Genomic DNA, 12,682 nt, shown 5'->3' on the forward strand with positions numbered 1-12,682 from the left:
GAGTGCCCACCCAAACCAGTGGATGCACTTCCCAAGGGAAAACCAAGATCCTGCTACCAAGAGAAGTTGCACAGCAAACTCCACAGATGTCCACTACCAGCAGGGCCATTCCTTACCCTCTCGATACTTCATCAGATTTTATCTTCAGCAATCACTCAATGGTAGGAGAAACCTGTTGGAGCAGAGGATCAAGGAAGGCTAGAAATCCTTGAGAGAGTCATTTATTTGCTGGATTTATTTATTTTATGGATTGAAAGCTGCTGCCTGTCAGCAGCTGCTTGGAGCTCTGGAGGAAGAGTGACTACATAGTCAGGCGCTGTCCTGGGCCCAGGGGGTTACAGAGTGAACCCCCTGGTTACTGTCTCAGAGGGCTTTCATTCCGGGTGGGAGAATGTGTGTACAGAGATAATGGATGAGCAGAGTTAGCAGGTCACAGGGTGCTCCGAAAGCACTGTGGCTGGGCACCTAGGCTGGTGGGAGTAGAGGTGAGCCTGGGCATGAGGGTGCCTGGAGATGAGGCTGGGCTCTAAGACTGGAAGGATGACTGGGGGTGGGATGTTCCAGAGAGAGGAGACAGCCCAGTGAGGGTCAGAGATCCAGGAGAAGAGAGGGCATTCAGTAACTTCCGATGGACACGTGAGGCTGGAGGGTCCAAGTGGGGATGGGCCTTGGGGAGGGATGGTGTCTGCTGAGGCCCAAGGGTTTGGTAAAGAAAACTAATGGGGAAGGAGGTCCTTGCCAAGGGCTTGGGCTTGATTCTGGGCAATGGGAAGACAGTAAAGGGTTGTGAGTGCAAGAGTGGCTCATGCAGGTGTGTGTGGTCTGGGACAGTGGGGGTGGTTCACATGGGGGCCTGCACCTAGGCAGCCAGGGGGCCGGGTGACCTGTGGAAGATGAAGAGTAACACGGGACCATAGCTGTCTCTCTTTCTCCCCCTCCTGCCTCTCCTTTCTCCGGCCTGTCTTCCTTCTTCTCTCCCTCCCCTTTATTCCCTCATCCCTTTTGTCTCCTTGGAGGGTGGAGAGCTGCCTTTCCAGAAATAGGAGTTTATGGAGAAGTTTATCCTTGGCACGAGAGACATCCGCCTCACTCCAGAAAACCCAAGATAAAATAAATCTAATTAAATCTGTTACTGTTCACAGAGACTAGTTTTGTGGGCAATTGACCTGTTTTATTTATTATGTAAACCATCATGAAACCCAAGCTCCATATTATTTATGCTAATGGAAGGGAATAGGTAATAAATCCCGCATGAGGATGTGGGCAGACCAGATGGTACTGGTGGCACTTTGATGGCTCGTGCTGGAGGAGCTGGTGCCAGACGTCGCTCCCAACCCCAGGAGAAGGGCTGGGAGGGGCTGGGAGGGGGTGGGATTGAGTCCTGGGGGCAGCTTCACTTTCAGCAAATTGAAAAGTGCTAATGAGAAGATGGGGGCTTTCTGGGTCATCTCCTTCTCCCTCTTGGAGGAAATGCCAATCTGTGATACATCCCTTGGAGAAATCGGAATAAAATTAGATGGCGCACCTCCCATTTGCCCCACACTAGGGCAAGCCTGCCACCTGCATGCTCACATCAGATTCCACAGCAACCCTGAGAAGTAGGCCTCATTTTCCTCCATTTTATAGGTGAGAAAACTGAAGCAGCATCAGGGCTGGGGTTTGAACCCAAGGTGTTTGAACTTGGACATGTAAGCCTCAAGTCTTCTCAGGGCACTGTGGCCTTTGGTAATACAGATCTGGGAAGGAAGGGTAGAGACCAGGGGAGGAGAGAGGAGGACAGGAGGAAAGAGGGAAGGGCAAAGAAGGGTGGCAGCAGTGAGGGGGGCTGGGAGGATTGGAAGTGGGGCAGGAAGGAGGGGAGAAGGAGAGGGAAAGGAGAGAAGGGAGGAAGGTAGTGTGAGGCAAGGGCAAGGGGGAGTGGGTGGGGAAGGGGGACGAGGAGAGGGAAGGTACTTCTCTCTCCCCCTGAGAGCAGCTGGCCTTAGATCTTCAGAGGAAATGAGAGTTAGACAAAGGTGGTAACTGTTTCTAGCTGTGAGGGCAGCTGCCCCTTAGAGAAATGGAAAAGCAGGGAGTGTATTTCCTGCCAAAGGCTGAGAGCATCATCTTCCCTTCAAAGAAAGGAAGAAAGAAACATAAGTCAGGAGGCCATGGAGAAGAATCTGAGTTTGCAGTAGCCTTGCAAGTAAGCAGAGTTGGCTGCCAGCCTGCACGGCCTTCCCCAGCCAGCCCCACCCCTGCAAGCAACACTAGGCACATGCCATTGCTCTTTTCTGCATGCCAGGTGCAAATTCTTGCTTTGCTTGCCCGTCTTGGGCCAAAGGGCCTAAAGAGAGAATTTAGTCCCAAGGCAGTGTGATTTATTTTCAAAGATTGCAAAGGCGTTGGGTCTTCTATGGCAATGGGAAGGATTTGAACTTGCCATGTGGACTTGAACAAGTTACTTGGCATCTGTGATTCTCAGTTTTCTCAAGGGAATAGCAATGCCCACCTCCAATGTTGTGGATGAGGACTGAACAGGGCAAGGCATGGGCCCGCATGGTGCCTGGCACAGAAGAGGTACTTGCTTAAGTCAGATTCCCGGGGGGCACGCTCTTGAGATGGGGGTCCCAGGAAGTTTACTGCAGTATATAGAGGAGGGAAGGAAGTAGGATTGGGCAGAGGAAGGAGTTCAGTGGTGGGTCAGTTGCAACAAAGGCCTTAGCCCTATAGGAACTCTGGAGCTAGGATGCATCTGCAATAGTGACCAGCTGGCCCAGTTTTCCCAGGACTGAGGGGATTCCTGGGATGCAGGATTTTGGTGCTAAGACTGGAAAAGTCCTAGGGAAACTGGGATGAATTGGTTACCCTACCCTGCAGAGATGTCCTGCTTGTGGCAAAGGGGCTGGACCTTTATGTCTCAGTGGATGTGAGCTGCCTTGAAGGAGGGAACTTAACCTCGGGCAGGGTGACTTTCTTTGGCTGAGGGCAATTCCTGGAGAGGGACTCAGCTGTGAGCCATCAGTTGCCAACACTCCAGGCAGTTGGGAGAATGAGTATCTTGTTTCTGAAGGTGGGATCTGGGCAGCGTACCACAACATCCCCTATGTTGCTGGGTAAATGTAAATTCTCTCCCCATCTCCTGTGAGGCAGGCTGGGGTAGTTGTAAAGAGAAGTTCCAAAAGGTGTCACAACTAGTGACACTTTAAGAGCTCAAGGAGGTCTCCTCCAAACTCTCATCTTGGCTTGTTCAAAGGGTAAGATCTTGCACCTCTGCTGCAACATAGAGGCATAGGATCTGCACCCCACGGCACCAGGAGCTCCCCATTACAGGTATAGTCTCTTGAAACACCAATGTGGGGCAGTGGAACTCTTTACATTTTTTCAGCAGAAGAGCTTTTTGCTTTCCTTCCTGGTGATTATTTTTCCCTTCCTCTAGTCTGGGAGACCCAGGCTATCCTCATCCTAGATAATTAAAAATACTTATAACACAAATAATAACAGCTGACGTTTATAGAGCCTTTACTCATGTCAGGCACAGTTCTAAAAGCTTTACATGTAATGCATCATTTTATCCTCCCAGCTGTCCTATGAGGTAGATACAGTTATCCTTATTTTACCAATGAAGAAATTGAAGACCAGAGAGGGTTATAAATGGATGAAGTTTACATAGCTAAGAGGTGGTAGAACCAGGATACAAACCCAGGCAGTTTGCTTCCTGTGCTCTTCTCGTGGTGCAAATGACACCGTTAGATTGAGACTGTCAACTCAGTCCAAACTTGCAATTGGTTCCTGCTGGTGGTTCTGTCCCTGCATTCTTTCACAGTGATAACAGCAAGAAAAACAGTGAGAGTTATAACTTACCAGGTTTTAACTCTGTGTCAGACACTGTGCTGACTGCTTTACCTTCATCACCTCTTTGATGATTATCATAAGCCTACAAGGTAGCCTCCTCACTTTATAAATGATTGTCACTTACCCAAGGTCACAAAACTGGTAGGGTTGTTCTGGATACTTACTGCTGAGTAACAAACTCCTACAAACTTACGGACTTAAAACAAGGGCCATTTTCATCAGAGAAATGCAAATCAAAACCATAATGAGATACCATCTCACACCAGTTAGAATGGCAATCATTAAAAAGTCAGGAAACAACAGGTGCTGGAGAGGATGTGGAGAAATAGGAACACTTTTACACTGTTGGTGGGACTGTAAACTAGTTCAACCATTGTGGAAGTCAGTGTGGTGATTCCTCAGGGTTCTAGAACTAGAAATACCACTTGACCCAGCCATCCCATTACTGGGTATATACCCAAAGGATTATAAATCATGTTGCTATAAAGACACATGCAAACATATATTTATTGCAGCACTATTCACAATAGCAAAGACTTGGAACCAAGCCAAATGTCCAACAATGATAGACTGGATTAAGAAAATGTGGCACATATATACCATGGAATACTATGCAGCCATAAAAAATGATGAGTTCATGTCCTTTGTAGGGACATGGATGAAGCTGGAAACCATCATTCTCAGCAAACTATCGCAAGGACAAAAAACCAAACACTGCATATTCTCACTCATAGGTGGGAATTGAACAATGAGAACACATGGACACGGGAAGGGGAACATCACACACTGGGGCCTGTTGTGGGGTGGGGGGAAGGGGGAGGGATAGCATTAGGAGATATACCTAATGCTAAACGACGAGTTAATTGGTGCAGCACATCAACATGGCACATGTATACATATGTAACAAACCTGCACGTTGTGTACATGTACCCTAAGACTTAAAGTATAATTAAAAAAAAAAACAAGGGCCATTTTATTATATCTCACTATGCTGTGGGTGAGGAATTCAGGCAGGGCTCAGCTGAGTGGTTCTTCTGCTCCATGCCACATTGACTGAAGTCACCGGTGGTACTCAGCTGATTGCTGGACTGGTCTGGAGGGTCCAAGACAACTTTTCTCATGTGGCTGGTGTCTTGGTGAGCCCAGCTATGTCTCTCTCTCCCTCTCCTTATAGTCTCAGGGCATCCCCATGTGGTCTCTCCAAGCGGAGTCATTGGATGTCTTATGTGGACACTCAGGATCTAAGAGTGACTGTTCTTAGAGGGAGGAAGTGAAAGCTACTAGTCCCTTAAGGCCTGAGTCTGGAAACTGGCACAGCATCACTTCCAACATGTTCTGTGGCTCAAAGTTATGACAGTGCTCATGCTAATGCAAGGAGGAGGAACAGACTTCACCTCCCAGTGAGAGGCTTGTCAAATAATTTATTGCCGTCTTAAATCTACCACAGAGACCAAGTCTGTCTGCTTCCCAAGCCCTGGTGTTTAACCCACTCCCCACATGCATGTCCACCTTCCCTTAGAAGCTTTCTCTTTTCCCTGTGATTCCTCTTCACTTCAGAAAACCCAGGGGCTAGTCATTCCTCTGCTCCTCAGCCTTCAGAGCCCTGAGCTTGGCCAGCAGGGTCGAACTGTCTGGCCCTCTGTGCCCCTCTCCCTAGCAGCCTCCTTCTCTCCCCTTCTTTGCTCACCTTCCTTGCCTGTGCTACAAGCCTCCAGCCTGCCTGGCAGCTCTGCCCTGGACTGGCATGGGGGTCCTGGCAGGGGATGAGGCCGACCCACAGGGCAGCACAGTGGCTCAGAGGAGAAACCCACAAGTGAAGGCTGGCAATGGAGGTGGGCAGCAGTTAGGGTCCACCTGGGTCAGTGCTGATGGGGGCTCTAAGGCAGCACAGTCTTGCCAGCCTGGGAGACTCCAATGTGGTCGGGCCATCTTGCCCCTGCTGAAAACTTCCCATGGCTTCCTATTGCACTCAGGCTGAAGTCCTGCGGGAGCTGATGTTGCCTGCTCTGCAGCCTCACCCCTCAGCATTTCCTGCTTTTCTTCCTAGCCTTCTTCTCTGGCCACACTTTTGTTTATCTGGGAAGACATGGAGGTTGAAGTGCTGTAGCTATGTTGAAACCATAAGAGGCCTGGGAGGGGAGTGAGAAAGTGGAAATGAAGAGAGATAGAGGGAGAGAAAGGGAAGAGAGAGAGGGAAGAGGAGAGAGAGAAAGGGAGAGAGGGAGAGGGAGAGGGAGAGGGAGGGGGAAGAGAGAGAGAGAGAGAGAAAATCTGGACAGTTGTTTGAGACTGGATCAAGCCATATGTGATTAGGTATACCCAACTTTCCAGTCACATGAAGCAATGTATAGTCTATATGTTTCAGCCAGTTTGGGTTGGGGTTTCTCTAATTTGTAACAGAAAAGCACCAGTGTTGGTGAGGGTCCTGAAACTCGGGCTGGGTATTCAGGCCTTGGTAATGATAATACCTTTCTACTCTGGGGAAAATGCTTAGAACTTGGCTGTCTTGGCTGGAAGGCCCCAACTCATCACTGTTTAGATGGGGAAACTGAGGCCCAGAGAGGCAAAGTCACATGTAGAGGGAGTGACTGCCACTGGAGATGCTTCAGCAGAGAGGACCTGGGCTTTCTACTGAGGCAGCTGACCTCACCCTGCATGGTGGGACAGTGTGTGAGGCTCTGTTTACACACAGAGGAGGGACAGGAAGGACCAGACCTGACTCACAGGAAGCCATGGTAGTTGGACCTGACCCAGGTTAAGGAGTGGCTGAGACCCACCAGGCAAACCCTGAGCCCCTGGTCTTAGTAGTAAACAGAGGCTGCAGGCCCAAGGGTCAGTAGGGACTCATGAATGAGGGCAGATGGGGCAGCCTCAGGACCACCTCTGGCCAGCACAGGAGGCTGAAGGGCTGCAAGACTGAGGCCTAGCTAAGTGGGGTGACACCATGTTGTCCTGCTCAGCTCACTGGATTCCAGCCACCCTGGCCTGCTCTTTTCTGAACTGTGCCTGGCAGCTTTGGCACCAGGGCCTTTGCACATGCTGTTCCACCTGCGTGAAAACTCCTTCCACCCTCACACTCTGCCTTGCCATCCTCTCCTCATCTTCCAGGCCACAGCTTAAATGTCACTTCTCAGTTTTTCTTTTTGAGACGGAGTCTCACACTGTCACCCAGGCTGGAGTGCAACGGCACGATCTCAGCTCACTGCAACCTCTGCCTCCCAGGTTCAAGCAATTCTCCTGCCTCAGCCTCTCAAGTAGCTAGGATTACAGGCGCCTGCCACCATGCCTGGCTAATTTTTTGTGTTATTATTACAGATGTGGTTTCACTATATTGGCCAGGCTGGTCTCGAACTCCCGACCTCGTGATTTGCCCACCTCGGCCTCCCAAAGTGCTGGGATTACAGGCGTGAGCCACCGCGCCCAGCCTAGGGACATCCTTTCTTATCTGCCTTGAATCATTCAACAAATATTTATTGAGCTCCTAATATGTGCCACATACTTTTCTAGAGACCAGCGGTGATTAAGACCAATTTGAAGTTATATTATCCCTGGGCGGTGGAGGCAGGTGGGTAGAACACACACATATGCAGACACACACACAGACACTCCCAGACACACACTCATATAGACACACATAGATGCACATACACAGACATAGACACCCAAACACAATCACACACAGACACACAGATACAGACACACACACACATACACAGACACTTCCAGACACACAAACACAGGCACTTATACACAACACACAGACAGAGCCACCCAAACACACTTATACACACACACACAGACACCCAAACACAGACACACACACACATACACAGACACTCCCAGACACACAGACACAAACACAAACACTCATACACACACACAGACGTGGACACCCAGACACACACACACACACACTCCCAGACACACAGATACAGACAAACGTAGACACTCATACACACACAGACAGATATAGACACCCAAACACAGACACACAGACAGAGACACGCAAACACACACACACCCACACTCCTACACAGACACAGAGAAACACAGAGACTCATACACACACATACACACACACACTCACAGATATAGACACCCAAACACAAATACACACAGACACAGACCAGACACACGCAGACATAGACAGAAACAGACACACAGGAAACCGAAACAGAGAGGTGGGGGAATTGATGCTGGGGAAAGGGATAAAGAGTTTCCAATTGCATGGTTGGAAAATGGCTCTCTGAGGAGTCTACATCTGAGAAAGAACTTGAATGAGTGGAAGGAACACTCTGGGAGAGGGGTGTGGCATTCTAGGCAGAGGGAACAGGGGAGGGGATGGGGTGGGCCACCAGGCTGGGTGGGAGCCGTGAGTGAGGGGAGGAGCGGAGGGCCCGGGTGCAGGCAGAGCTACAGGTCAGGAGCCCTGGCTTTTCAGGTCCCATGAGGACAGGGAACTATACAGGATTTTGAGAAGCCACTGAGGGCTTTTTTTTTTTTTCTTCAACTTTTATTTTAAGTTCAGGGATGCATGTGCAGGATGTGCAGGTTTGTTACATAGCTGAACATGTGGTGGTTTGCTGCACAGATCATCCCGTCACCTAGGTATTAAAGCCCACCATCCATTAGCTATTCTTCCTGATGCTCTCTCTCCCTGCCACGCAACAGGCCCCAGTATGTGTTGTTCCCTGCCATGTGTCCATGTGGCCTCATCACGCAGCTCCCACTTATAAGTGAGAACATGCGCTGTTTGGTTTTCTGTTCCTATGTTAGTTTGCTGAGGATAACGCCTTTCCGTTCAAAGGATATGATCTTGATCCTTTTAATGACTGCATAGTATTCCTTGGTGTATACATACTACATTTTCTTTATACAATCTATCATCGATGGGCATTTGGGTTGATTCCATGTCGTTGCTATTGTGAGTCTACAAGGACCTTGAGCAAATCTACAAGACAACAAACAACCCCATTAAAAAGTGCGCGAAGGACATGAACAGACACTTCTCAAAAGAAGACGTACATGTGACCAACAAACATATGAAAAAAACTCAACATCACTGATCATTAGAGAAATGCAAATCACACCCACAATGAGATACCATCTCACGCCAGTCAGAATGGAGATTATTAAAAAGTCAAGAAACAACAGGTGCTGGCAGAGAAAGGCTGCAGAGAATAAGAACGCTATTACATTGGGTAAGAGTGTAAATTCGTTCAACCATTGTGGAAGACAGTGTGGCGATTCCTCAAAGACCCAGAGGCAGAAATACCATTTGACCCAGCAATCCCATTACTGGGTATATACCCAAAGGAATAGAAACCATTCTATTATAAGGATACGTGCATGCGTATGTTCATTGCAGCACTGAAGACTTTTTAAGAAGGGGGTGGCGCAGTCTGAGTCACGCTTTAGCAGGCTCCCTCTGGCTGCCGTGGGTGGTGGACAGCGGGTGGAGGTGTGTGGAAGCCGGAAGCCATGCCAGCCGTCCAGGCAGATGACGGTTGCTGGGGCTGGGACAGGAGCAGTCACAGTGGGGAAGGGGTTGGTTTTTGGATATAGTTTCAAGGTCACACCAGTGGGATTTGCCTGGATATGGGGCATGAGAGAAAGCAGGCAATGACTTTGGCCTGAGCTTCTGGGTGCCGCTTAGTGAGATGCCGAGGCGGGAGAGGAGATGGGTCTCAAGGGAAGCCTGAGTTTCATTTAGGTTGTATAAAATTTGGGTTGCCTCTCAGGCCAATGGAATGCCTAGCAGGAAGTTGTATGTGTGAATTTCATGTTGGGAGACAGGGTTATGGCTGGAGACCCACATTCATGCATCCTCATTTTACAGAAGGCATCTAGCACTGCTTTGTCCTTGATGAGCTCACCTAGGGAGAGAGGGTGGAGAGAGAAGCCCAAGGCCTGAGCCCCAGACATCTCTGCTTGCTTCTGGGACGTCACTCTTATCTGGTTGTCCCCTAGCTGGTTCTGAGGTCAGGACTAGTAGAGGGCTTGAGTTCATTTCCTAGAGCTGGCGTCACAAATTACTCCAAACTGCTAGCTTAAGAAAAAGCAATCTATTCTCTCATAGTTCCAGAAGGCACAGCTCCAACATTAAGGTGTCTGCAGGGCTGTGTCCTTTCCAGAAGGTCCAGGGAAGAATCTTTTCTTGCTTTTTCCAGCTTCTGGTGGCTTCAGGACAGGGGTGTACCCCAGACATAAGGAAGGCTGGGGGAGAGGCCCCTGCTGAGCAAGTTACTGGTCAGTCCCAGGGGTTGCCTTCAGGGCTGGTGGGCTGGGAGCAGAAGCTCTGAGCTCTTCTTCTTTCTAGAAAGAAATTCACCCTCAAATCCTTTCCTAACACCTGGGGAGTGCCACCCACCCTCTTCAGCCAAGGTGCCAAATGCTAATCCTGGTCTGGACCCAGATAAGCTTCTGTTTAAATAGTCAGAGATTAGTTTTCAAATTGACAAATAGAGCCCATCTGGAATGCTCGGAGCTGTCCCCTCCAGGGCCTGGCTGAGCAAATCCAGTTTAATTAGTCTTGGTGCTCAGCCCGGCAGGGGTGGGGATGGGTTGGGGGAGGGGGTGGTGGCCTTCTTCCAGCTCAGTTACTGGCCTCCCCAAGGCAGTTGGGCTAGCCCTTGTCTGTCTGTCTGTCCTAGTGCTCCTCCCCACTGTGCTGGGCCCTCAAGAGTTAAAGAACAGGAGGGGGTGTGAGGATTCACTCTGCCTGTCCCCCAGGAAGGATGGACCTGAGCCCCTCCTTCCACAGCCTCCCCTCTGCTTCTCCTCACTGTGCACTAGGCTCCAGCTGCAGGGAGCCACCTGAAGTTCCTTCACACACCTCAAGCTTTTACCTGTGCCTGTGTGTGCCACTGCATTCATTCATTCATCTGTCTAATAATTATGGAGCACCTACTATTGGCTGGGCACTCTTCTAGGCACAAAGGAGACAAAGTCTCTGACCTCTGGAGCTTTTGATTTAGGAATGGGTGACAGATATTGGCCAAATAATCACACAAAAGGAAGTTCAGTCCCAGACTCTGAAATGTGTTGGTAGAGAACTGCACAGTGTTGGGAGAATGTTGGGGCTCAGTGTGGCTGGCAGTAGCGGGGGACATAGAAGGGTTAGAGGAGACTCCAGAGGAAATGGCATTTGAGCTGAGATTTGAAGGGTGATAGGGAGTCAGCCAGGTGAGGGAGAATGAGCTGAGAGAGAGTGTATGTGTGCACGCACTTGTGTATGTGTACATGTGCATGTGTGCACACATGACATTCCAAGCAGATTGAACACTGGGCACTTGCCCTGAGGTGAGGAAGGCTGGTGCCCCTGCACACCCAGTAGAAGGCTTGTGTGTTTGGGAATGGGAAACGGGGTGAGGCAAAGAGAAAGCAGGGGCAGGAGGCTGGGCTTCCTTAGCATCCAGTCCATCTCAGTCTTTGAACCCAAGAACAATGGGAAGCCCTTTCAGGCTCCAGGCAGGGCTGCATGGTCAGATTTACATGGGAAGAGACTGCATTGTCTGCAGTGTGGAGATCAAACCCCTCTCTGCCTGGAATGCTGCCCTAGACACCTTGCCTTCCTGGGCACCTGGCAGGGGGAGCACCTCCCTGTCCTCACCCACCACAGCCCACGGAGCAGGCAGCATGGCTGCCTGTTCCCACGTCCGAGGCTCCCCTTGCATCTGTCTCTGTCTTTTCAGTGCCCACCTTGGTGCTAAAGAAATGTGTTGAATGAGTGAGTGAGTGAGTGAATGAGTGTATAACTGAATGAAGTTTTGGCTCAAGTGTTACCTCCGTGATGAATAAAGACAGTCCTGACTGAGCTTGGGGCCAACAGATTTACCCACTCCTTCCTTTGTGTGTTCACTGACCTGCACAGAATCTGTCATTTCCCCAGCCCCAGGAACTGGTGCTGTGCTGGCAAACAGGTAACAGCCAGCTCTCCAGAGGGGGAAAAGCCCTGCTTTGTGGCATTTGCTCATCTAAGTAAACATGCCTGCTCACCATGGCTGATTTGAAGCTACTTACCTGACATCACTTAACACAGAATTGGGTGAGGAAGTGCACAGTCAGCCGTTGGAAGCTGAACAAGGCAGCTCCAGCCAGCACTCCCTGAAAAACTCTACTGTGAGAGGAAGCCAGGCCCACAGTCTGGTCAGGGCTGTGAATGGCCCGGATGGGCCTCAAGCGGCCATGGATGGTTGGGAGAAGCAGCACAGTGTCATGGTTAGGACACAGGCTCTGGACCCAGACTGCCTGGCTTTGAGTCCTGGCTCCTCTGCTGATTAGCTGTATGTCTGAGGGCAGTTAGCTAACATCACCGTGCCTCAGTTTCCTCATTTGTGAAAAAGGGGTGATATTGATCATTATAACTCCCTTCCTGGAATGGTGTCGGGATTAAATCAGGCACTGTTTGTAGAGGACTTGGAAAGGTGCTTGGCACACAATCCATGTTTAATAAGGCCTGGTGGTGCCCTCAACAAAGAGGCCTCCTTTCTTTCTTTCTTTTTTTTTTTTTTACTAGAGATAAACAGAACATTTTATAATCATAAAATGACCATTCCATCGGGAAAACATAACAATTACAAACATGTATGTCCCTAATAACAGAGGCCCAAAATACATGAATCATTAATAGAATTGAGGAAGAATTAGATTCAGCAGTAATAGTTGTAAATTTCAATATCCCACTTTTCTTCTTTTTTTTTTCTTTTTTTTCTTTTCTTTTATTATTATTACACTTTAAGTTTTAGGGTACATGTGCACAATGTGCAGGTTAGTTACATATGTATACATGTGCCATGCTGGTGTGCTGCACCCATTAACTTGTCATTTAGCATTAGGTATATCTCCT

At 49.3% G+C, this 12,682-nt stretch overlaps 2 annotated features.

The window, feature by feature from the left end:
• Positions 5,120–5,633: an enhancer, noted in NCBI's record as "H3K27ac-H3K4me1 hESC enhancer chr1:37225396-37225909 (GRCh37/hg19 assembly coordinates)". NCBI's record gives its function as "activates a minimal SCP1, AML or CMV promoter by ChIP-STARR-seq in naive H9 embryonic stem cells {active_cell/tissue: H9 hESC(naive)}" and the evidence as "EXISTENCE:reporter gene assay evidence [ECO:0000049][PMID:30033119]".
• Positions 10,941–11,442: an enhancer, noted in NCBI's record as "H3K4me1 hESC enhancer chr1:37231217-37231718 (GRCh37/hg19 assembly coordinates)". NCBI's record gives its function as "activates a minimal SCP1, AML or CMV promoter by ChIP-STARR-seq in primed H9 embryonic stem cells {active_cell/tissue: H9 hESC(primed)}" and the evidence as "EXISTENCE:reporter gene assay evidence [ECO:0000049][PMID:30033119]".

Source organism: Homo sapiens, chromosome 1, assembly GCF_000001405.40.
Source record: "Homo sapiens chromosome 1, GRCh38.p14 Primary Assembly".
In the NCBI taxonomy this organism is placed as follows: Eukaryota; Metazoa; Chordata; class Mammalia; order Primates; family Hominidae; genus Homo; species Homo sapiens.